At 42.2% G+C, this 26,891-nt stretch overlaps 2 annotated features.

Annotated features, from left to right (window-relative positions):
- Positions 13,851-14,759: an enhancer, noted in NCBI's record as "OCT4-NANOG-H3K27ac hESC enhancer chr13:30538546-30539454 (GRCh37/hg19 assembly coordinates)". NCBI's record gives its function as "activates a minimal SCP1, AML or CMV promoter by ChIP-STARR-seq in naive and primed H9 embryonic stem cells {active_cell/tissue: H9 hESC(naive and primed)}" and the evidence as "EXISTENCE:reporter gene assay evidence [ECO:0000049][PMID:30033119]".
- Positions 14,760-15,669: an enhancer, noted in NCBI's record as "OCT4-NANOG-H3K27ac hESC enhancer chr13:30537636-30538545 (GRCh37/hg19 assembly coordinates)". NCBI's record gives its function as "activates a minimal SCP1, AML or CMV promoter by ChIP-STARR-seq in naive and primed H9 embryonic stem cells {active_cell/tissue: H9 hESC(naive and primed)}" and the evidence as "EXISTENCE:reporter gene assay evidence [ECO:0000049][PMID:30033119]".

The raw sequence follows: 26,891 nt of genomic DNA, 5'->3' as shown, positions 1-26,891 counted from the left end.
GCACTGTATGCCTGCGGCTAACCCAGATCCCACTGGTGGAATCCTGCTCATGGGCTTGATGGACCCAATCACAGCCTTGGCTTCTGTCTTGGGGGTTGGGGTAGTGAGATTGGGAGCATAACTAAAAAAGCTCTAGGATCTCACAGGCGTGGAAATCAGATCTGAGCTCCACCACTTGCTACTTGTGTGACCGCTAAGTCTCAGTTTCTTATGTATGAAGTGGGAATAGCAATAGCTCCTATCTCATAGGATTCTTGTGAAGATTAAATAAAATACTACATAGATGGTGATTAGCCCAGTTCCTTGCCCATACTAATACTATTATTAATAATAATAATAATTTTAATATTCTGGTGCACAGAGTTTGATTGATCAAAATTTGTCATTCATGAAACACTGTCACCATTGCTCCTTCCTTGTCCCCATCCCCTGGCACCTTCACCCCAGAGCGACCATTTTTACCTACCATACTTATTCATTCCTTTGTTTTGTTTCCTATGGTTGCTTTAAAAAAAAAAAAATATATATATATATATATATATATATATATATTCACCTATGCAATATGTTACTTAGTTTTGCTTTGTTTTTGAACTTTATAAAGAGAGTATCAGGCTCTATGTAGTTATCTGGGACTTGCTTTTTTCACTCAATGTTACCAACTAATGATATGGTAATGTTACCAACATTCATCTGTGTTGATGAATGTGACTATGATTCATTCATTGTCCATTGTTGCATAATATTCTCACATGTAACTACAGCACAATAAATATATTCATTCTCCTATTCTTGGGCACTTGGGGTTTTTTCGTAAATAGTTATATTGAGTTATAATTCAAATATCACACAAGTCATCTATTTAAAGTGTACACATTCAATGGCTTTGAGGATATTCATGAAGTGGAGTAACCATCACGACAATCAATTTTAGAACATTTGCATCAACCCCAATAAGAAATCTCATGTATCCATTAGCAGTAACTCCCCTCCTTTCCGCAATTCCTTCAGCCCCTGACAACCTACTTTCTCTCTAATGTACTTTCTGTCTCTACAGATTTTTCTATTCTGGACATTTCACATCAATGGAATTCTATACGATGTGGCCTTTGTGACTGGCTTCCTTCACTCTGCAGAATATTTTCAAGGCTCCATATTGGAGGATGTGTCAGCACTTAACTGTATTGCCAAGTAATTTCCTGCATTTTACTTATCTGTTCCTTTGTTTATGGACATTTGAGTTATTTGTTTATAGTTTTCTGCACTTACTAACAGTGTTATTATGAACATCAGACCACATTATTCCCTGGGCACACGTGCAAGAGTTTCTCTAGGGTATATTCTTGGAGCTGTTGAACTGTAAGGAAGGCAAACCTTCAACTCTACAAGATCGTGCCAAATTACTTCCCAAAACATTTTGACAGTTTACACTCTCCCCAGCAATATAAAATATATCACTGACCCACACATTACTAATATTTGGCACAGCCAGAATGTCCAGTTTTCGTAAAGCTTGTTTACTTTTTTAAAATTTATTTTAAATGATCAAGCCACTGCTCTACATTTGACCCATTACCTGATAATGAGATTCTAATGGAGATCTGGACAGAAACGGCTGCTTGCTCGATGGCTTCCTCCATAATTAGCAGCTCATCTCTGTAATAGTTCTAGCTTTTACTTCCTGACCCAGAATTTTGATGTTACTGTTTATAGCACTGTGCTTTCTTCCCAGATGGGCTCTATGTTCCATCTACTGGCTGGTCCCAGAGTCTCATTCTACCTCTTCCCAGGCAGAGAGGAGACAGGGCTGTCCCGTATCTTTGATCTTGGTAATACACAGCCCCACGTACACACACATGTGTGCGTGCACACACACACATCATACACACAAACACATTCATACCCTGAGCCTCCAGCCACATCTAAACAGGAGGATGAGAGCAAGCAGGAAGCCATTTTGATGGTGTCAAACCCAGAGAGAAACCCCACTTCATTTGAATGGCTCATCCTATGAATGCCAGAAAAGGAGGGCACTCTCAGGGTTTGCTTTTGTACCGTCTGTCAATTTCCAGGCCATCAAATTCAAGTTATGGTGAATGTGCTTGTAATTCCCATGCACTGAATTCTCTCCAGAACCTCATTTTATTTACTTACTGTCTTTCCCATTAATTAAATTTCAATAGCATTTTCCCTCCAGAGGGCCCTACAAATGACTTCTATAATAAACACTTCATGAAAAGACTAACTCTGAAAGTCAGTAGAGCCAATAGAAGCAGAAGAGAGACTGTGAAGAACAAAGGGACTTGGGGAAGGGGGCTTTTAGGATGGCAGTGGACGAGTAAGTTCTCGCCTTGCACCTGCCCCTGGAGAAGGGACATGCGGCTCAGTTGGGTGTGGTCAGCAAACCCCTCCAGCTCATAGCTTCTTCAGGGCCAAGGGCACCTTGCCTCTGATCTTGCTCACATCCAGTGACTGAATGAGGAGCTGGTCTCAAAGCCTGCCCCTTCAGCCTAGCTCCTTGGGTTAGCCAAGGCTCGGCCAGGCCTGCACTGCTGTTTTCTCGAGCTGTCCTAGTTGCTCCTGCTCCCTCTTGCAGAGGTTGACCCCTACTCAACATCTTGCACCCCAACTGTTTCCACGTTGGTTTCTGGAGAATCTATGTTTGTGTGACTACATTATGAACTATTTAGGGAATCTCAAATTGTTCTACTTAGCTTTTGCAATTTTTTTTTCAAATATAAATAGTACTGAAATTCATATCCTTATGAACGTCTTTCTCACATCCTAAGATAGAAGGTATCCTCAGAGCTAATTCCTAAAATGGACTGGGTCAAAATGTTAGGCACATTTTAAGGCTTTTAATGCTTATTTGCAAATTGCCTTCAGAAATGTCAAGCCAATTACCACTCCCTGCAAAAATATATGATAGTGTAGGAGAGTCTATGTCTCTGAGTCTACAATGACATTTCTTTTTTTCTGTTTTTTTTTTTTTTTTTTTTTTTTTTGAGATAGAGTCTCGCTCTGTTGCCCAGGCTGGAGTGCAGTGGTGCGATCTCAGCTCACTGCAACCTCTGCCTCCTGGGTTCAAGTGATTCTTCTGTCTCAGCCTCCCAAGTAGCTGGGATTACAGGCACCCACCACCATGCCAGGCTAATTTTTGTATTTTTAGTAGAGACAGGATTTCACCGTGTTGGCCATGCTGGTCTTGAACTCCTAACCTCAAGTGATCCTCTCGCTTTGGCCTCCCAAAGTGCTGGAATTATAGGCATGAGCCACCACGCCCGGCGGATGATGGCATTTCATGTTTGTAAAATTGTTCCATGCGCATGGAGATGGTTATATTATTTTTGTTTTAGTTTTTATTTCTTTGATTACTTGTAAAACTGAATGTTTTTTGTAAGTGGGAAGCAGCAAAAGGCTGTGTAAGATAAGAAGGAAGGTAGAGGTATAGGAAAAGAAAAGAAAAACAATGTTTCAAGAAGAACAAATTTTTTAACAGTTTTATTAAGGTAAACTTGACCTATAATAAACCACATATATTTAAGGTATACAATTCGGTAAGTTTTGAAATATGGACATACCTGTGAGGCCATCACAAAAATTGAGATACTGAATATATCTATGGCCCACTAAAGCTTCCCCCATCTGTTTGTAATCTTACCCTATCATTCACCACTTCCACCCCACCCACCACTCCCAGGCAACTACTGTTCTGTTTTTTGTCACTATGGATTAGGTTTCATTTTCAAGCATTTTATTTAAAAGAACTCTATACTGCTGATTATACTTTTGTCTGACTTATTTTACTCACATAAATATTTTATAATTCATCCATGTTGTTGCATGAATCAACAATTCATTCCTTTTTATTGCTGAGAAGTATTATTTTGTATGGATATACCACAATTTGTTTATCCATTCACATCCTGATGGACATTTGCGTTATTTCCATTTTTGGCTATTACTAAAAAGTTAGTGTATACATTCATGTTACTGAGTGTGCATGGATGTATGCTTTGATTTCTCTTGGGCAAGTAGAGTGGCATGTCTGTGTCCCGTTGTTTCAGGTAGGAAGGTTAATCTTTTGACAAGAAGCCTATTTGACCTCTTTTTTTTTTAGACAAAGTTTCACTCTGTCACCCAGGCTGGAGTGCAGTGGTGCGATCTTGGCTCACTGCAACCTCTGCCTCCCAGGTTCAAGCAATTCTGCTGCCTCAGCCTCCTGAGTAGCTGGGACTACAGGCATGTGCCACCATGCCCAGCTAATTTTTTTGTATTTTTAGTAGAGACAGAGTTTCACCGTGTTAGCCAGGATGGTCTTGATCTCCTGACCTCATGAATCGCCTGCCTCGGCCTCCCAAAGTGCTGGGATTACAGTCATGAACCACCACACCCAACCCATTTGACCAATTTTTAGAGCTCATGTTGTAAGACAGATACATTGAAGATAGGGTACCTTGGCTCTGATGCTGAACATTTTTTAACTGTTTACATTTTCATTTCTTCTTTTTCTTTTCCACCACTATGAATTTAACCCTTTTCCTTTCCAACAGCTGAATATGGATATTCAGCTGTTGCCCTTGCAAAGGAATAGAGTTGTTCCCCTTGCAGTAGCAGCCTTCAGCCTCAGAGATTTTTTTTACAGTCTTAGGGTAGAAGCAGAAGTGGGCCAGGCTAGAAGCTTCAGGAAGGATCCCCCAAATCTCCAGGCTAGATCACATTAAAACATTGTTGGCCATGGAGACGCAGTCCTCACTGAAGCCAGTTCTGTGGCTGGGGCTGAATATCCTGACTTCTGCCCTCCTAAAACTTATGCCGTGAGACTGTCCTGGATACACAGGTATGTGTTTGAAGCTGGAGGAAGACTCTGAGGTTTGCCAGTGGGCCTGTCAACTGACTGGGGCAGGTCCAAGACACCGGGATTCCAGGATCAATTCTAGGGCTCACTTTGGCCTTGGCTGCTGTGCCCTCCTGCCCTTCAGTGAATTCCTCATCAGTCTAGGTTTCAACTATGAGTGAAACTCTGAGTAGTTTTAACATAGCAGCCAGGGATTTGAAAGTATCTTTGTCTTGTGAGCCTGATGTCCAAGGCCCATCATCCCGCCTGGCATGACAGACTTTCCTCCATTCCACACCACTCACTAACCACCAGGCCCCACTGCCACTCTGTGGCAGGCCCTGCTCAAAGCATGACGTTCTTTCAGCCTCCTTGCATCCTGTAAGACATAGCTATATTATCTACTACATAGTTAAGGAAACTGGGCCTCAAAACGGTTAAATCACTTGCCCAACATAATTTAGTAGTGGCAGAGGCAGGATTTAAAACTCAGCCTAAAGTTGCAGGGAAGGAAACAACTTTTTCCCCTATTCTCCTAGATCCTCCAGCTGGGATCTGCAAATTAGACTGAGAAAGACAGATCAACAAGAAAACGCAAACAAGAGTGTGTTAACACATGAAGTGCACATACATGCAGGAGAGACTCAGTGACGGGTAACTCTAAGGAATGGTTAGAACTTGGGCTTATATGTAACCGCCCAACGTGTTCACCTTGCCCACTGTCTGGACAGAGCTGATTTATCAAGGCATAAGAATTGCAATAGTGACAGAGTTGGCCGGGCGCGGTGGCTCACGCCTGTAATCCCAGCACTTTGGGAGGCCGAGGCGGGCGGATCACGAGGTCAGGAGATCGAGACCATCCTGGCTAACACGGTGAAACCCCGTCTCTACTAAAAATACAAAAAATTAGCCGGGCGTGGTGGTGGGCGCCTGTAATCCCAGCTACTCGGGAGGCTGAGGCAGGAGAATGGCATGAACCCAAGAGGCGGAGCTTGCAGTGAGCCGGGATAGCGCCACTGCAGTCCAGCTTGGGCGAAAGAGTGAGACTCCGTCTCAAAAAAAAAAAAAAAAATAGTGACAGAGTTATTCACGCAGAGCCGGCTGTGTAGGAGACTGGAGTTTTATTATTACTCAAATCAGTCTCCCCAAGCGTTTGGGGATCAGAGTTCTTAAGGATAATTTGGTGGGCTGATTGGTTGGGTAGGAGATGAAATTATAGGGAGTTAAAGCTGTCCTCTTGCTCTGAGTCTGTTTCTGAGTGGGGGCAACATGATCAGAAGAGCCAGGTTATTGATCTGGGTGGTACCAGCCGATCCATCAAGTGCAATATCTCAAACACTGATCTTAGGTTTTACAATAGTGATGTTATCCCTAGGAGCAATTTGGGGAGGGTCAGAATTTTGTATCCTCCAGAGGCATAACTCTTAAACCATAATTTATAATCTTTCAACTAATTTGTTAGTCCTACAAAGGCAGGCTAGTCTTCAGGCAAGAAAGGGGTTTGTTTTGAAAAAAGGCTATTATTGTCTTTGTTTTAAACAATAAACTAAAAACTAAGTTCCTCCCAAAGTTAGTCCAGCCTACGCCCAGGAATGAACAAGGACAGCTTGAAGATTAGATGCAAGATGGAGTTGGTTAGGTCAGATCTCTTTCACTGTCTCAGTTACAATTTTGCAATGGTGGTTTCATATATAACAGTTTAATAAAAAATACAATAAATTGGTAGAAAAGTGACAAGATAAAGGAAAAATGATTTATGCTTTAGGGACAGCAAACAGTAACAAAGTAACTAGATAAGGGAAACTAATGAAAAATAAGGGTTGTTTTAGCCAGTTTGTTTTGTAGATTCCTCTGCTGCTGTATCTGGGTATTGCCTCCAGTGATTAAGAATCACTGATTAAAATTGTCCTGCCCTTCCTGGTAGAAAAGGGGAGGGCAGAAATTTTGTCTTTTGTCTCCTTCTTTTCAATTTCCTTCCACTCAAAATAATTATTATATCAAAGTGGCATATTTTGGGATGGCATACTCTGAATCCCTCATAAGTAATAATGACGGAGAATTTTTCAGAATGAACAACAAGCACCAAACCAAAGAACCAGGAAGCTTAAAGAATACTAACCAGGATTAATGCCAAAAACTATGCCTAGGCATATTACATTCAAACTGCAGAAAACCAAAGACAAGGAAAAAATCTTGAAAAAAGCCAGAGGGAGAAAAAGAAACAGAGGAGCAAAGGTAAGAATTACATTGGATTTCTCATCAGAAACCATGAAAGCAAGAAGAAAACTTGGTGAAATATTTAAAGTATTGATCGTATCCAGTGAAATTATCCTTCAAAAGTAAAAGAGAAATAAAGACTTTCTCAGGCAAACAAAAATTGAGAGAATTTGTTGCCAGTAGACCTACCTTGCAGGAAATATTAAAAGTTTTTCAGAGAGAAGGAAAATTATACAGGCCAAAAACTCAGATCTACATAAAGAAAGGAAGAGTGTCAGAGAAGGAATAAATGAAGGCACAGATGATTGTAGCATATAATTAAGTGAACTGAATGACAGAAATGTTATGAGTTGGGAAGGAGGAATTGGGATAGTCTGTTTTAAGGTAACTGAACTGTCCATGAAACAATGTAGTATTACTTGAAAGTGAACTTAGATTCATTGTAAACATACATTGTGAACTCTACGGTAACCACTTACAAAAAAATTAAAAGACATATAATTGATTTTCTAAGATAGAAAAGACAACAGAATCATATAAAAGGCTGCATTAAAAACATAAGCCTATTGAGTTTTAGCTCTTATTAACACAAAAGGCACAATCAATGAAAGAAAAGATTGTAAGTTGGACTTTATTAAAACTAAACACTTCTGCTCTACAAAATATGCTGTTAAGAGAATGAAAAGACAAGCCACAGATTTGGAGAAAACATTTGCAAGACACATATCTGATAAAAGACTTGTATCCAGAATATACAATTAACTCTTTAAGCTTTATAATAAGACACAAGCAATCTAATTTTAAAATAACCAAAAGATCTAAATAGACACCTCACCAAAGAAGCTATACAGATGGCAAGTAAGCACGTAAAAAGATGCTCAACTAGGGAAATGCAAATTAATCAATGAGATACATTACACACATTAGAATGACTAAAACTGAAAACACTTTTCAGTTAGCCAGGAGGGCTATGTTCTGTTGATCTCTTGCACAGCATGGTGACTATAGTTAACAATAACGTATTATATATTTCAAAATTGCTAAAAGAGTGGATTTTAAATGTTTTCACCATGAAGAAGTAACTATGTGAGGTGATGGATGTATCAATTAACCTGCTTTGATTATTCCACAATGTATACATGTATTGAACCATCACACCGAATCTTATAAATATATACAATTATTATTTGTCAATAAAAATGAAATATTTTTTTAAAAAACACTGACAATACCAAATGTTGGTGAGAATATGTAGCAACAAGAACTCTCATCCAATGCTGGTGGGAATGCAAAATTGTACACCCATTATGGAGGAGAGTTTGTCAGGCTCTTACAAATCTAAATATAGTCTTACTGTACAATCCAGGAACCACTTTCCTCAACAGTAATCCAACTGAGTTGAAAACATGTCCATACGAAAACCTACACGCATAAATGTTTATAGCAGCTTTATTCATAATCACCAAAAATTGAAAGCCAACAAGATGACCTTCAATAGGTGGATGGATAAAGAAATTAGTACATTCACACAATGGAATATTATTCAGTAATAAAAAAAATAAGCTATCAAGCCAAAAACTGACATGGAAGAAAGTCAGCTGCATACTGCTAAGTGGAAGAAGTCAGTCTGAAAGGTTGCATACTAAATAATTCCAACCATATGACATTCTGGAAAAGTCAACAGTATAGAGACAATAAAAAGATCAGTGGTTGCTAGGTATATGGGGGAAAAGGGAGAGGAATAAGTAGGTGAAGCACAGGGAATTTTTAGAACAGTGAAACTTTTCTGTATGATACCGTAATGGTGAATACATGACATCATGCATTTGTGAAAATCTATGGAACTGTAGAACACAAAGAGTGAACCTTAATGTAACTATGAACTTGTTAATAATAATGTATCAATGTTGGTTTATTTGTTTTTTGTGTGTGTGTGTGTGTGTTTTGTTTGTTTGTTTGTTTCTTGAGACGAAGTCTCACTCTGTTGCCAGGCTGAAGAACAGTGGCATGATCTCGGCTCGCTGCAACCTATGCCTTCTGGGTTCAAGCAATTCTCCTGCCTCATGCTCCTGAGTAGCTGGGACTACAGGCGTGTGCCACCATGCCCAGCTAATATTTGTATTTTTAGTAGAGATAGGGTTTCACCATGTTGCCCAGGATGGTCTTGATCTCCGCCCACTTTGGCCTCCCAAAGTTCTGGGATTACAGGTGTGAGCCACCGTGCCTGGCCTCAATGTTGGTTTATTAATTGTAACTATTGTACCACCCTAAGGCAAGATGTTAATAATAGGGGAAACTGTGTGTAGGAGAAGAGGATATAAGGGAACACTGCACTATCTGCTCAATTGGCCTGTAAATCTTAAATTATTCTAAAAATAACATCTATTGATTTTTAAAAATATAAAAAAAGTCAAGGACAGACAAAAACATTCAAGAAAATCAACTACAAAGTACGTTCAACAACAACAACAGTATGCCTGCTTTCAAATTCTTACTCATCCTCTCTGCAAACCACCTCAAATCCCATATTCTTGGCTGGGGCCTGGTTGTCCAATCTAGCTCATGCCAAAATCCTGTCTTGAAGCAGGGGAGTCATGCTTCAATTCTATGACTCAGAAGTTCTCCAAATGTAGTTGAGATAAAGCTTGTTAAGAATGTAGCATCCTGGACCTGAGGTCTAGTGATTCTGACTCAACGGGACTCTATAATCTGCATTTTCCTTAAGATCGTTAGTGACTCTGAGGTATCCTCTGAGGGTTGCTACAGCTGCTGATGGAGTGCTGCGGCGGTATGATGTTTTCTCACTAAAGTGAGTCTACCCTTTTGCTGGTTTCAAGAAGAGTTTTTTGAAAGTCCACTGCCATAATGCTTCCGAAAGATCAGATCTCTATACCTGCCTGAACTAAATCAATACATCTTTGCCTTTTGGGAATTAAACTTTCGGCCTCCCCTACAACTGGCCTTGCTGTGGTCCCATCACACATCAAGTCCAGACCTATGCAAATGATATTTATTTTGGTGATGGGATTGGTCATACTGAGGAGTGCCAGGAAAGACGTGAACACTAGACATTCATTCTGCAAATGTTTACCAAGTAACCTGCTACGTATCCCAGTGACTGGAGCCTTGTCTTTGCTCCCTCAGGACCCATTTTCTGGTTCTCCTGGGGACTATGTGTGTCAATGTAGTGCTGGAAGTTCTAGTCAGTGCAATAAGGCAAGAAAAGGAAATAAAAGATATAGATCAGGAAGAAAGAAGCAAAGCTGTCTCTATTTGCAGAAGACATAATTGTCTACGTAGAAAAATCTGGAGAAATCTACTGTATAGAATTGGTCCTAAATCTTTAAATGTCTAGTAAAATTCTCCAGTGGAACCATCTGGTCCTGTAAATTTCTTTTTTGGGAATACTTGACTTATGAATTCAATTTTCTTAATAGTTATATGACTATTTAAATTATCTATTTTATATTAACTTGTGGGAGTATGTGTTTTTTCAAGGTATTAGGTCATTTCATGTAAGCTGTCAAATTTATGTGTGTTTACAGTTGTTTATAGTATTCCCTTATATTATTCCATTAATACCTTTTTGATATCTGCAGGGTCTTGTTTCATTCCTGATACAAGTAACCTGTGTATTTCCCTTTTCCTCTCTGTCAGTTTTGCTAGAAGGGAATTTTTTTTGCCAATTTTACTGATATTCTTGAAGAGACAGCTGTTTGTTTCATTGATTTTTAAAAATTGTTTTTCTAGTTTTAATTTCATTGATTTTTGCTCTTGTCTTTATTATTTCCTTCTGCTTGCTTTAAATTTGTTTTGCTCTTCTTTTTTCTAGGTTCTTGAGACAGAAGCTTAGATTATTGATTTCAGACTTTTTCTCCTTTCCTAATGTATATATTCAGTGCTATGAATTTTCCTCTCAACACTGTTTTAGTTGTGTTTCACAAATTTTTATACGTTGTATTTTCATTTTCATTCAATATATTTCTAAAGTTCCCCTGAGACTCCCTCTTTGATTCATAGATTTAGAAGTGTGTTGTTTAGTTTCCGAATGTTTAATGATTTTTCTGTTATCTTACGGTTATGTCTAGTTTGATTCTATTATAGCTGGAGAACTCACTCTGCATGATTTCAATTCTTTCAAATTCCTTAAAGGTTTCTCTCATGGCCTAGGTGTTGTCTATCATGGTATATGTTTCATGAGCACTTGCAACAAATGTGTATTCTACTGGTATTAGGTAGACTCTTCTATAAATGTCATCAACCTGTTGGTCAATGATGTCATTGAGTTCTTACACATCTTGCTGGTTTTCTGCTGAATTGTTCTGTTAATTTTTCCAAGACAGACATCGAAGTCTCCAACTGTAATTGTGACTTTGTCTATTTCTGTCAGTTATTGCTTCACATAGTTTGAAGCCCTGTTGTTTACTGCATACACATTTAGGATTGCTGTGATTTCTTGGTGGATTGACTGTTTTTATTATTATATAATGTCTCTCTGTTTCTGGTTATTTCTTTTGCTCCGAAGTCTATTTTACGTGATATAGTATAGCCACTCCTGCTTTCTTTTGTTTGCATAATGTATCTTTTCCTATCCTTTTACTTTCATCCTACCTATATAGTTATAGTTGAAGTAAATTTATTGTGGACTGCAGATAGTAGGAACCTGTTTTTTGATTAATTCCACCAATCCCTGTCTTTTAATTGGTGTATTTACCATTTACATTTAATGTAGTCATTGATATATTAGACCTTAAATCTGCCATTTGTACAATCCTTTCCTGTACAATCTAGGTGAATATTTTTATTAAAATATTTGCAGATATTTTTATAATTCTTAGAAGGAGGATTAGAGGGAGAGAATTCTACTTCGTATTAGTCAGGGTCCGTGTGTGTGTGTAATTTACTTTATAAAATTGGTTCACACAATTGTGGGGGCTGGCAACTCTAAAATCTGTAGGACAGGCCAGCAGGTTGGAAACTAAGGTAGGAGTTAATGATGCAATCTTTTCTTCTACAGGACACCTTGGTTTTTGCTATTAAGGCCTTCAACTTTTTGAATGAGGCACCACACACATTATTGTGGCTAATCTCCTTTACCTAAAGACAATTGGTTGTAAATATAACCATATGTACAAAATGTCTTCACAACAACACCTAGATTAGTGTTAGATTTAATAACTGGGTACTATAGCCTAGACACGTTGATACATAAAGCTAACCATTACAGACTTCACCCCATTTATTTTCCGATTTAGGTAAGGTGAGAGTTTCTTAAGAGGTAAAATCAAGTATTGGTTGTTTTTCTGTTCAACTAAAACATAGCAGGCTACTGAATTATTGGAGGATTTGACAGTCTCGTGTGTCGACCTAACATTTCATAACCCGAGGCAGGGCAGTTTTTAAAACCTATAACATAAAGCATAAATGAATGGAAATTTGGAATCTCAATTCTGCATTTAACATTGTCTCAAGTATTTGAAATTACTTATCTTCTATAACCAAGCTGACTGTTAGTACAATAGTGTTTGGAAAGAAAACTGCCCCTTGATTTTAGCTCTCCCAGTCAGAATGGGGTGCTAAGTATGACAGCTTTTGCAGAGGCAGCATAATTTTTTTGTCCTGGTAACTTTCTCAGTTTGCAATGAAATATTGGAGACTTGTGAGTATATGGTGAATTAATAGGACTTTAGAGCAAACACAACAATATTTGAAAATAATAGTGATTAATAGCCTCTTCTAAAGGAAATTTGCTTTCAGATTTAAGCTGGAAAGGCACTGGGATAACTGGAAAAGGATTACAATCATGTGGCTTTTTGGATTTTAGTACTTGCATTATGAATTACATGTATCTTGTTCATGATATCTTTTTACTAAAAAAAAAGTTTTAAAACCAGAGAAATCTCAATGATGAAGAAAGCATCCAGAAAAAAATAATTAAAAAAAAGAATAAGTTAGTAATTTCATTAGGGAAAGTAAGACCATTCTTTTAAAACAGAGAATTCAAGAAAATAAGTGACTATGTGCAAAACATGTGCTATGAAAGTGAGGGAGGATACAGGATGCTGTGAAAGTGAAGAAGTCCTGTGGCCTTTGGGGAGGGAGAGACACACTGTGGGTAGAGGTCCTGCTCAGGGACTCAGAGAGGAGGTAGAACTTGAGTGAGAAATTGAGAAAAGCCTTTGAGTGAGCAGAAATGGAAAGAAGGCCTCCCAGGAAGGGGTCACAGCATAGGCAAAGGTATGGTTAGAAAAGCTACGTTGGCCGGGTAAGTAAGGAGCTTGGGGCAGCAGGTGCTTGTGGAGCAATAGAGGCCCAGGCCATGGGGCCACCCCCAAGGGAAGGAAGACTGCCCTGTGCTCTGAGGTGGGCTCCACTCTCATCCAAATCAGTTCCTCCACCCGTGTCTCACCAGGCCTCAATGGGCCTCTGTATCATCAACAGCAATGCATTACTAACGGCAGAAGATGTTCTATTCTTCCCAGGATCATCAATAAAACTGCAAACAGTCCTTGGAAGAGGAGTCATGCAATAATGCCTCACCAGGGTTATTTTCTGAGAAGAAGCCTCAAGGAGTTCTTGGGGTGGAAGTGGAGACAGGTCGAGAGAAAGTGGAAAATTGCAATTTATCCAGAGCCTGCTGTTGCTTTGATGTTTGTGGTGAGGCTTTAAGAGGGAGAGAGTAATGAGGGGAGCTGTGATGAAAACACGTAGACTGACACCCAGTTGGAGGAACAGAGACTAGAGATGAGAAGCGCTTCATGGGGGAATATCCCAATTGGAGCTGCAGGGCCTGAAGGATGGGAGGTCTTGTGTGAACACATTGTGAGTGAATGACTGAGTACACAAATGAAGCAGGTGGACTAGAAAGCAAGCAATTTTCCCTAAAGGACCTTTTCACTGTAGTACAGTGACATGGTATTTTCTAAGTCAGAACTCCTTTAAGGACCTTATCAAGTGTATAAATTGCCCTTCCCAGAAAAATGTATATATGCAAATGAAAATAATTTTATAATCATTTCAGACAATTTAGAGAACTTTCCCCACCCCAAAAGTCCACGAAACTCTCCTGATTATCTTCAGACATTTAAAGGAATGTCATAAGGTGAGAGACTTCTGTGTGATTCTCCTGTAGGAAAACACTGGGACAAGGAGATGAATTTGGGTCCTAGATGCATGGAACAAGTGTCAGTTGCTCTGGAACCCTTGGGGAAAGCAGGATCTCCACCGGCTAATGTAACCACCAGAGGGGTTCCTCCTGCCCAGTGCATAGAGAAAGACCGCAGCATTGCAGTAAAGGAAGTGTTTAATAGACACAAGGCTGGCCATGCTACGTGGGAGATAGAGTTAGTATTCAAATCGTCTTGTCTCAAAGCTAGCAGGTTAGGGGTTTTTCAAAAGCAGTTTCCGGAAGGGTTGGGGGAGGCTAGGCTTGCTGCTGATTGGTTGGGGTGGAGACGAAATCATAAGGGGTGGAGGCTGCCCTCTGGTGTGCTGAACCTCTTCTGCATGGGGCCACAGGAGTGAGGTTAGGGGTCCAGGTGAGACCATGGATGTCAGATATGCAAAAAAACAAAAAACAAAAAACAAACAAAAAACCCTGGAAAGGTATCTCAAAAGGCCGATCTACAATAGTGGTGTTATCTGAAGGCATAATCGGAGAAGGTGCATATCTTATAACTTCTGGAACATGGCTGACAATCGTTTGTCTCTGCGCCTTAGCAGGACTCCAGCTCCCCTCCTCCACACAGCCTGATGGCCTCCCATTGGCTTTACAAAAGCAGATGAGTTTTGGCGGAGGCCTATTATCATGTAAACTACAGCCTAAATGTCTCTTAAAGTTAGCTTGGCCCAAAAGCCCAGGGATAATTAAAAAAGGAAAGGCAAGATGGGTGGTGGGTTACTGCAGATCACTGATACCATTTTTGCAAAGGTGGTTTCACTATCATGGCTGAAAATCCATTATCACTAGTGGCCTGGCCCCCTTTCCTTTCCAGGGGCATATAAGAGTCCAGGGTGAAAGGGTATTGCATCCTGCCACGTGTGTCCTGGAGGTCACCTCGGCTGTGCTTGAAGTGGGTCCTCACCTGCCTGGGGCTGTGGCTCTATCACCTGCAGGGACCTCCACCAGACTAGAGTCATCCTTCAGAGGCATCTGCCTGTCTGGAGCTGCACTTACCCTAAGGAGCCATCACCTGACCCTGCTGGCCCTGGTCCTCAGTGGTTAGCTCTTCATGGCCATCCCCACCTGAGGATGGGTCATCTCAGAGAGGCCTCCCTTAGAGAGGCCAGGTCCCTGAGGAACATGCAGCTCCCCTGTCCCCTTCTCACCTCTGAGTTCCAACTACCTACTTTCAGGGTGGCCAACTCCCTCTTCTCCTTTCTCTCCCTCATTCTTTCCCTTCTGAAAAACCCTAGCTTCAAACATGAACACCTATGTGTGTTTGTGCCCCTGGCACCCACCATTTTTTCTCATTTTACCATCAACTCCTGCTCCTAAAGGCATTATTTCTATCAGGACAAGGAGATTCTAGGCCAGCATTGTATAATACAAATACGATGCTGGCCACACACTTAATTTTAATTTTCTAGTGACCGCATTCAAAAATAGAAACAGGGAAATTAATTTTAATAACAAATTTTATTTAACCCAATATGTCCAAAATATCATTTCCATACGGGATCAACATAAAAAGTTACTATTGAGATAGTTGGTATTCTTTTTTTTTTTTATATGCAAAGTCTTCAAAATCTGGTGTGGGTTTGCACTGACAGCACATCTCAATTCAAAGCAGACACATTACAGCTGCTCAAAGGCTGCACGTGGCTGTCCCATTAGACACAGGGGTGGATCCCAGAGTGTGGCTGTGTGGGTTACTGGAAAAGGGAAAGATTCATTTTAGTTATACAAGGCCAAAACAGTATGAACAAAGGTTGGGGTAATTTCTCAATGGGTCGTTGTGCTATATTAAAATTTTTTATTTTTATTTTTATTTTTTTTGAGACAGAGTCTCACTCTGTTGCCCAGGCTGGAGTGCAGTGGTGCAATCTCAGCTCACTGCAATCTCCGCCTCCCGGGTTCAAGCAATTCTCCTGCCTCAGCCTCTCGAGTAGCTGGGATTACATGCGCGTGCCACCACGCCTGGCTAATTTTTTGTATTTTTAGTAGAGACGGGGTTTCACCATGTTAGACAGGATGGTCTTGATCACCTGATCTCGTCCCTCCCAAAAGCGCTGGGATTACAGGTGTGAGCCACCATGCCCGGCCCTATATTAAATTATTAATAAACGACTTGGTACTTAAAGGATAATCCTGGACCATAAAAAAGGCCATTCTAGGGAAATGGAGAAATGAGATGGTGGGAAAAAGAGGGAGGAGCAAGTATCATAAACAGGCTTCAAAGAGCCACTCCCGGGACCCCAGGTTTCCTCTGTCTCAACTGTGCATGGACCAGTCTGCTCCTGGTAATGAATCCAGGCAAGCCTGGAAGACCGAATGTGGGCCACCAACCTCTTCTCTGCCTCCTGTACCAGGACTCGAGATCCTGGGGTGAATTTTAGTGGCCTCCCCATTATTCTCATGCTTGGTTGCACATCAGACTCACCTGAAGAGTTAAAAGACCTCTGACTCCCAAAGTGTTGTATTAATGTTAAATTTGCTGGAGTAGGTAACTGTACTATGGTTATGTAGGAGGATGTCTCTTAGGAGTTACACACTGAAGTATTTTGAGGTCAAGGACCGTGATGTAACTAATCTTCAAATGGCCCAGAAAAAAATATTTTAAAATATTATGGGTGAATGTGTATATGTGTGTGTATTGAAAGATACAGAAAAATAATTAAGCAAATAGGTTAAAATGTTCACAATCAGTGTAGAGGACATATGGGTATTCTTTGTAGTAGTTTTATTCTAACAACTTCTCAGAGTTTAAAATTAGTTCCAAAAACAGTTTTAAAAACATCCTTTTAAACTTGATTCCCAGGGCCTACCCCTAGAGGTTCTGGTTTAATTGGCGGGTTTTTTTTAAGGCTCCCAGGTGACTCTGAAGTGTCCTAAGGTTGAGGACCCAGTGGCTCTGAGTCAGAGAAGCACCCACCTCTCCCCCTCCCTCTTCAGGCTTCCAGGCTCAGCCCACCACTGTGAATGGGCTTTAGCAGAGATATGATCAGCATTTTAGCTTGTGGTTGCTTTGTTTTGTTTTGTTTTTAACAGAGTCTTGCTCTGTCGCCCAGGCTGGAGTGCAGTGGCACAATCTCAGCTCACTGCAACCTCCTCCCAGGTTCAAGCGATTTTCCTGCCTCATCCTGGGTAAAATTACAGGCGCCCGCCACAACGCCCGGATAATTTTTTGTATTTTTAGTAGAGACCAGTTTTCACCATGTTAGCCAGGATGGTCTCAATCTCCTGACCTCATGATCTGCCCGCCTCAGCCTCCCAAAGTGCTAGGATTACAGGCGTGAGCCACCGCACCCAGCCACTTGTGGTATTTTGTCACCTACAGGAACACAGAGTCATGTAGAAGAAAGCATCCTCTTTAGCGATCCTCAAGGCACTGGTGGTGTGCCATGCAGCTGTTGAATATTCATTGCCCACAAATTTTCCACAGGGCTGGACATATTGTCTGTCCACTGCCGGTCCAGGCTGTCTGCTGCCACTTTGTAACTGCTCAGCTGTCTGCATCGCTTTCATCAGAGGCGGCCTGTTTGCTGGAAAGCTGTACCGGAGGTCATGGGCTGAGTGGTTGCTTAACACCTGTGCCTCCTTTTAGGGGCTGGCTCGGGAATGGGCGAGGAGTGGGGATGAAGGACCCTGCCTTTCTCCTCCAGGAAAGCACTTAGAGGAGCTGGGGGCCGGGGGACTGAGCTCAGGTGGTAACTGGAGAAAAAGCCCCCCGGGGACCCCCGCTCCAACTGCACACTTCAGCTGAGAGCTGATTTGTTCCTTTTCTGCTTTCAATGATTAGAAACGCAGCCTGGTCCAGTCTATCCAGCTTCACTCATCCCTTCACTCATCCCTTGAGACCACTGGCACGAATTTGTGAAGTGAGAAGGGCATTCTGGGGCTGCATAATGGAGCCTCCCTCTGGGACCATTAGATGCCCTGAGGGGTGGCTCACCTGAACTCATTAACACCTTTTAAAGCCATGGCAGCTCTGGCTGACTCACGTTCTGTGAGGTCCACCAAGAGCTACCAGATCTTTTTTGGCCTTGTGTCTGCCTCATCTTCTCAGTGCTGTGTTTGCATGATGGGATTTTTGTTTCTAAGCAGACTCAGAGGCCCTATCTTTACAGGACTGAACCTCTCTGCTCTGTGACCTGGAGCAGGTTCCAGGACCTGGCTGGTCTTCGGTCAGGCTCCGGGAGAGCAGTGAAGTCCCTGTCTCTATTTCGTCTTTGCATATGCCTCCCCTCCACAAAGAAGGCACCCAGGGACTAATTTACACTGGGACCAGGACAAACTTGGGAGTGAAGCAGTGACAGCACGATGTCACTAAAGATGGGGAGAGAATGGAGGGCAGGGAAGACAGGAGAGCAGGGCAGCAGGTCACATGCAGAGCAGCAAAGAGGCAGGAGGAACAGAAGGGTGTGAGCCATATGGAACAGGGTGTGGGATCATTACCAACTAAGAAACCACAATGGTGCTGGGGGCATTGTTGAAACCACCTTTGCAAAATTATGACTGAGACAGTGAAAGAGATCTAACTTAACCAGCACCATCTTGCTTCTAAACTCTAAGCTGTTCTTGTTCATTCCTGGGCATAGGCTGAACTAACTTTGGGAGAAACTTAGTTTATAGTTTAAACAAAAATGGTAACAGCCCTTTCCCAAAGCAGACCTTCTTCTTGCCTGGGGACTAGATTGCCTTTGTAGGACCAACATTAGCCACCAGATTCGAAATTATGGTTTACGAGGCATGCAGCTGGAGGCTACAAGATTCTGACCCTCCCTAAACTGCTCTTAAGATCAGTGCATGAGATATTTTGCAGACCCTGCACCTGATGGATCAGCCGGCCCCACCCAGATCAATAAACTGGCTCATCTGATCTTGTGGCCTCTATCCAGGAACTGACTGAGCACAAGAAGACAGCTCCAACTCCCTATGATTTCATCCCTGACCAATCAGCATTCCTGGCTCACTGGCTACCCCTGCCCACCAAGTTATCCTTAAAAACTCTGCTACCTGAATGCTCGGGGAGACTGATTTGAGTAATAAACTCCAGTTTCCCACACAGCCGCCTCTGCGTGAATTACTTTTTCTCTATGGCAATTCCCCTGTCTTGATGAATTGGCTCTGTCTAGGCAGCGGGCTAGATAAATCCCTTGGGCAGTTACATTGTGAACTATACAAAAATAAATTCCACATGAATGCACTCACACAGGACCTGCCGAAATGGTGCCTAGAACCACGGAGCAGTTAGCTAGGCTAGGGCAGGGCAGGGAATAGGCTGGAATGAGCTGATGATGTACGGGGTTGCGGGTGGTGGGGTGGATGATATCTGATGGTCTTTGATGGTTCTCAGAGGAGGTGGCGTTTGGATTGGGCTGCCAACCCAGAAGAGGTGAGCAGGCTTTTGACTGTCGTAGGGGAAAAGCTTAGGCTTGATAAAGGAGACCTGGGCCAAATTCCCTGGACTTGCTGGGAGAACTTGCACAAGCATTTAAGAGTTCTTCTCTTTTTGCCTATAAAATGACTTTCAATGATGATAGAGTTGGAACAGATTTGGGGCCCTTGCTACCAAATCACCTTCTTCCTACTGTTTTCCAGGATCCATTCAAATGCAAACACTCGGGAGTGGGAGGCAAGTGGGCTGAGGAGGTGGAGGAGCTGGCCCAGGTCCTTAAAGCACTGCAAAGTCACACTCTAGGCCCAGGGATGAGGTGGATTTTAGGGGGAAGCTTAGAAGCCTGGCTCACTGGAGAGTGCCCCAGATCTGGCTCTTATGGGCAAGGCAGCTGCTGTGTCAGCTTGGCTCTGGGTGGTCTGAGGATGAAGAGAATCTTCCCTAAAGCCCAAGGAGCCTGGGGTTCTCCCAAAGCAAATCTTTGAAGGCCTCACTTTGCCCCTCCTTTTTCTTTGACCTTGTCTTTGCATTAGAAATACATTCTAAAGCCTTCCCAACTCAAGACACATTGGCCCCTTTGTTCCTATTTTGGGTGCATAGCTCATACTTTTTGTTGTTTGCACTTTTCAGAGGGTTGCAATCTGACCTTATGTCTCATGCCCATTCTGTCCCTGTAACCATCCTGTTATAAAAGCTATATGTTGTGTGGGAATGAAGCCATGAGCTCAGCTCTGTGCCCTGGGAGCAGGGAAGCTGTGAGAAGTCAGCTCTCTGAAGCCCCTCTACCTGCAGAAGATAGGGACGGGGCAGGGTTGGGGCTGTCTATGGGGAGGATGTGGCAAAGGTCTGCAGGCTATGTACGCACTTCCTACCTCAAGCCCAGGTTGTAAGAACTCAGGTGTAACCATCCCTGCAAATGATTGGGCACTGGGCCCAGTGGGTTTGCTGTGACAATGATGGAAGCTGGGGCAGGCATCCAGGGAGCCTTGTCAGTATTGGGCTGTCTTTCAATACTAGAGAAGCAACATTAATTCTGTGTATTGGAGAACTCGCTTCCTATTTCCTTGTGACCCAGTCTCTAATAACTTTATGCCTGTTGGCCAGTCTGTAAGCTTTCTTAGGAAAGGAGCAAATAGTATTTTTCTTTACTGAGCCCTGCAGTGTTTAAGAAAGCACTGAGCCCGTAGCAGCACTCAACAAAATAAGTACTGGCTAAATAAGTAGAAGACAATGCACCTCTGAGGATGTTTAGAGTTTTACAGTAAAGCATCAGAGCAAGGGGGTGGGGCACATCTGTCCAGGGCTTTTTAGGGCAGGAGAGGAGAGAAAGACCAGAATAAACGTATTGAGTAGTTGCAGTGTCATTTTTTTTGTGATTTATTTGAGGACAATATATAGATAAAAATCCCCACTTGTGCCATTTCTCCAAGTCATTTGTGCCCATTCTTCTTTTCTTCTGAACAAGGTCATTTGTTCCTTCACAGTCCTGGAAGTAGTGCTATGAGTCTTGGTCCTGGCCCTGGGGTGGGAGTTGGAGAGGCTACCCTCTCACACACTTCCACAGGAAAATCCATCTCTTGTACCTACAACTTAGAGCTAACCAAATGTCTATTCAGTGCAAGATCAATCTGCCCTGTGATTGCCTCTGCCCTCCAAAATGGACTGGAATATTTAAAGAAGAAATGCCTCAAATGAATGAGTAAGGTTGACAGAACAGTCTTAATAAAGTTTCCCTCTTCCCGTTATTTCCCCAAGGTGTTGAAGCCTGGATGTGGTTTGATTTTGTTTCTCTTGCTATTGATTTTTTTGCTCAGCAGTGTCTTGCTGAGAGAGGATCCCGACTCAATGGAGTCGAGGCTCATTGTTTAATCTCCCCCTTCCTGGCTGAACTCTCCCATTCGGACAAATCTCACTAGGGCAATAGAGCTGCTCTTATCGAACTTGCTCTACTCCATCATTCCCCTCTGATGTACTGGAGTAGTTGCTGATGAAGAAACTTATTTTTCAAATATAGAAACCTAAGCTGCTGGTTCCCAACACAGAAGGAGCAGAGTGAAATTACAACCCGCAGGCAGTTTGCATCTGAGCTCTCCAACAGTAAGCACACAGCGTGTTGTGAATAATAAAACCATATCCTTGTAACTCTCTTTCTCTCAGGAGTGCAGAGCAGTTTGCCAACATGATCATATCAATCCTTACAATATTTATATAAGGCAGGCATGAGGTTCCGACGTTCTCCGTGGACTCCTCCAGCCCCAGTATGAAGAGGGGATGGCGGGTGGGTTGCATCTCCCTTCAGCCCCCCTGTCTCAGCGGCGTCTGGCTCAATAAGCCCTGGCCCTTCTGAGTGTTGCCTTTGTAAAAAATGTACTATGTGGGTGGGGATAATTAGGAATATTAAAATGCCTTGCTTCACCAATTGAGGAAGAGGAAACAAAATGTTTCCCAGGCATGTATCTCAGAGGGATTGAAAGTGTTACAGACACTAATGCATCTCAGCCATCTGCTCCTGTGTTGAGGTATCCTCTGCACTCTCTGCTACCCTAGCGTTCATGTGCTGGGCAGGATGCAGCTGGTGACATTCAATCTGTCCCTGCCTCCAGCATCAGAGGACACATCCCTGGGAACTCAGGCAGCCCAGGCAGCAGGGGTCCCTTGCAGGTCAACAACACACTCCTTTCCATCACGTTTGAGCTGGAACTCAGCAACTCTGCAAAATTTTAGTTCCTCTTTTTCTTCATTTTTCCCTTCCTCCCCTCTTTTCTTATTCTCCCTGCCTTTCCTTCAGCCTCTTCTTATTTTAATTGGCCTCCAAGCTCTGAGTCTGCCCTTCTTCACACTTTCTTCTCAACTCTTTCCTTTCCATTTCTCTATTCATCTTTTTTACCTTTCTTGTCTGAGGATATGAGTTGAAATGAATCCTTTAGTGAGAAGGTGACTCGATTTACATGCAGAATTTCAACGCTTTCAAACCTCTCTTGTTTGTGAACCTGTTGGAAAGCACTGATGGCCATGCAGGCAGCAGGTGTAGAGAGTGATCCTCTCAACGCTTGGTAGCTGAGAACAATTCATATTTATCATACTGGCTTTGGTCAAGTCAAGTGTGAATGGTGTTTGACTGTACTCATTTTACTTTTTTTTTTTTTTTTTTTTTTGAGATGGAGTTTTGCTCTGTTGCCCAGGCTGGAGTGCAATGGCACAATCTCAGCTCACTGCAACATCCACCTCCTGGGTTCAAGTGATTCTCCTGTCTCAGCCTCCTGAGTAGCTGGGATTACAGGTGTACACCACTATGCCCAGCTAATTTTTGGTGTTTTTAGGAGAGACAGGATTTCACCATGTTGGTCAGGCTGGTCTTGAACTCCTGACCTCAGGTGATCCACCCACCTCGGCCTCCCAAAGTGCTAGGATTACAGGCGTGAGACACCGCACCTGACTTTTTTAACATAAAAAAAGTGCTTAAAGCTTGGATCAACTCCTCTTCTGATTGATCAGTATTTCTGGGCATAGTGTTTTTTGTTTGTTTGTTTGTGTTTATACTTGTTATCTGGATATGTTTTGGGATCAAATAAATACCAAATCACAGAGGTTATCGAATAGAGTTCTTTAAAAAAATATTTTCACAGCCGGGCCAGGTGGCTCATGTCTGTAATCCCAGCACTTTGGGAGGCTGAGGTGGGTGGATAAAACCTGAGGTCAGGAGTTCGAGACCAGCCTGGCCAACATGGTGAAACCCCATCTCTACTAAAAATAAAAAAACTTAGCCGGGCATAGTGGTGGGCACCTGTAATCCTAGTGACTTGGGAGGCTGAGGCAGGAGAATCACTTGAACCCAGGAGGTAGAGGTTACAGTGAGCCAAGATCACACCACTGCACTCCAGCCTGGGAAACAAGAGTGAAACTCCGTCTCAAAAAATATATATATATACTTTCACATCTCCATTGGAAATTTTTAAAAGAAACTTTTTTTTTCTGTTTAATTGATGCCAGGTACTCAACTCCCAATGCCATCACTCCCACCAATGCAGACTCAGAGGAAGAGTTGCAGGAAGCAGGGATCCTACTGGTCTTTCTGTCACTATAACCCAGCCCTGGCATGGAGCCTAGCACATGGTAGGGGCTCAAAGGACATTTGCTGAATGCATGAGTGAGTAAGTCAGCTGAGGGTGCCATGGAGGGGGCTAGAGGACGCTGTGCTGCAACCAAGAGCTCAGGGCATCCTGCTGTCCTTGGAGCAGAGGGAGGTTTTGCTGGGACAACAGAAGACCAGAGAAAGTGAAAATCACACTTTGTTCTTGCCCAGATATCTCAACCCCTCTGCCATCCAAAAATCACATTTCTGTTTGGTATACTAAATGTTTATTGAAACTTTTGCTATATGTAGACTCTATGTTAAACTCTAGGGATACCAAAATAAACAGGACATTTTCTCTACCGGCAAAGATCTCTCAGTATGGTAAGAAAAAGAATGATTTTTTAACTAAAAGGTTATACCTCCATGTGTTACATTTTGGACTAAGCTGAAGCAATATTTTATTTTTTTAAATCAGGTAGATGAATCAGTTTGAATTGCCATTCTGTGTGTCTCTCTATTTCCTAAATATTTTGCGCTGAAATAGCACAAGAACAGCGGCACATTCCCACAGACGGCCCCTGACGGGACTGTGTTTGGGCCGAGTCCATATTTCCTCCGTCTCTTGCATCATTTGTTCTTTGCCCTTTGCAAATCTCAGCACCATTTCCTCCAGAGCAGCTCCTGGAATTTTCGATGGGAGCTGTCACCTGGAACCAGCGAGCTTTCTCTTTCATACCTGTCATAGAAGGAGCTCACTTCTCACGAAGACCCGCCCATTTTACCCCCGACCCCGCTGTGACGTTAGGGAAAGTTTCCTTCTCTAGAAGTGTCTAGAAACATGCTTGGCTTTAACTAATGCATCTAGAGTGTCCCATCTGTTTAACAGCACTTTGCTCAAGGAGCCCACGTACTTGTGTTCCACTTCCTGCCTTGGCGACAGTCTCCGCAGGACAAGCCCGGCCCATCGCAGAAGCCCCGTGTCCTGTAGATGAATGAGAACTTAGACAGCTAACATTCTACCTGATGCTGGAACTCAAGGTCCTTGACAAATGACCATGTAGCTTACATTCTGAGAAGTGACAGTGACCTCTCCATTGTTGGAGAGTGCCATTTCCAATTCTGAGCACTTTAGTTTGTTAGAAAGCTTTTTTCAGCAAGTTGTTTTCGTCTATTGAACTCAAAATCAACCTCCTTGCCACTTCCTTCCTTATTTACTTCCTCTGTCTTTCCCTTGACATTTACTCACTCTTTGCTCCTCTTCTGTCTTGTCCTAAAATAAAACCGATTTATTCCTTCGTCCTCACAACACCTCCTCCAATATTTGAAGACAGGAAGATAGTTCCTTGTTTTCTCTCTTCCAAGCTAAACACACTCAGAGCCTCCGGCCAGCCTAGATCAGGAACCGTTTCTAAAGCCCTCAGCACCTCCACCCTGCCTTTCTAAATGAGACATCTTAATTATAATGCCTTGTAGCGAACATTATTTTCCAATTATCATCTGACCAGCATATAGTGTTACTGTTACTTATTATCTGGACACGGTATTTTTATTTAATGGAGCTTACAATTACATTCGCTTTTTAAAGCGACTGCATTACTCTGTTGGATCACATGAGCTTTTGGCCGAAGAAAAAGTCCAGATATTTTGAAAACAGAACTGATGGCAATTAAAGCAGATCTCCCCCGTTATGCCATTGCGCAATCAATTTCTGGACCTAAATGTGTTGGTACAATACCAGCTATATTGACGTAAGGGTATTCTTCAGAGTCATCCCAAGCTAGTTTCTGGCTTGTCACTGGAACCCAAGCTCTACCTCTGTACCCGGTGCCTGCCCACTGGAATGTAAGGTCCTCAGTTTCAGCAGCCCAGCTTGGGTTGAGACAACATCTCTGCTTTTTTTTTTTTTTTTTTTTTTTGAGACAGAGTTCTGCTCTTTCGCCCAGCCTGGAGTGAAGTGGTGCAATCTCAGCTCACTGCAACCTCTCCCCCACCACCCCATCAAGGGTTCAAGTGATTCTCCTGCCTCAGCCTCCTGAGTAGCTGGGATTATAGGCACCTGCCACCATGCCTGGTCAATTTTTGTATTTTTTTTTTAGTGGAGATGGAGTTTTGCATTGTTGGCTAGGCTAGTCTCGAACTCCTAATCTCAGGTGATCCCCTGGCCTCAGCTTCCCAAAGTGCTAGGATTACAGGCTCTGCTTCTTTTTTAATTTTACCTAGTACCAAGCACAAACTGTGGAAGAAGTCAATTCCTAATTAATATTTGTTGAATGGCTGAATGAATGCATCGTATGAGGCTTTACTAACAACAGTTGTTTCCCAGAACGAGCTAAGATTGCCATGAAATGCATAGACTCCTTGCATGCTTTATGTTGTATTTCTTTAGATTTTTTTCTTAAGAAAACCATGGATTCATTCTAGTCATGGAAAACCCCCATACTTCCCAGAGAACTTTGAGCAATTTTCTCTTTAAAGAAAGGGGTGACCCATTTACTGTACTCATCATTATAGTTTAGTTGCTAGAGTTACTTTCTAAGCACACCAGGACAAGAATATTATCTTTCTGATATGTTGGCATAAAAAACGATGTTGAGAAAAGCACATAGACCATCATCACATCCCTTGGCACCAGCAATTTCTAAGCAGTATGGCCAGAGCCATTGCTGTGAGTAGGTTTTTCCTGGCTGAGACCAACCAGGCCTGGGGAAAATAACTTGCAAGTTATCTAAACCAGCAAATACTTGCAAGAAGGTAACAGGAGGGCAGATTTTGTTGTCCATTCCTATATCCATCATTGTCAAAGCAATTATTTTTAAAGATCGTGTGGCTTCTACTACAATCACTCTAACCTACTGCCACTGAAGGAATTGGTATTACGGATGTTCTCCTGAGACCTATAGTCTCTGTTTCAGCCTTTGGAGACTTTGAATGAAAAAAAAAAAAATTCAAAGAAAGGCTGGGTGGAGCAATGTGTGTGCTAATACAATCCCTTGCCCAGCTTGTCTCCTCAGAAGCCTAAAACTAACAGGACATCCTGCACAATGAGGCCGCTTGTCTTTAGGAGTCTGCAAGGGCTGTGTCTTATCTGGTAATAAGACATGAGGGCGTTCTCTGAAATAATAGAGAAAAAACTTGGAGGGCGAGAAAATAGATATGTTTAACTCTCTGAAGAAATAAAAATGGTAAATAGGAAATGGGTTTT

Source organism: Homo sapiens, chromosome 13, assembly GCF_000001405.40.
Source record: "Homo sapiens chromosome 13, GRCh38.p14 Primary Assembly".
Classification (NCBI taxonomy): Eukaryota; Metazoa; Chordata; class Mammalia; order Primates; family Hominidae; genus Homo; species Homo sapiens.
The sequence above is the reverse complement of the archived record's forward strand: the minus strand, read 5'-3'. Positions and strand labels throughout refer to the sequence as shown.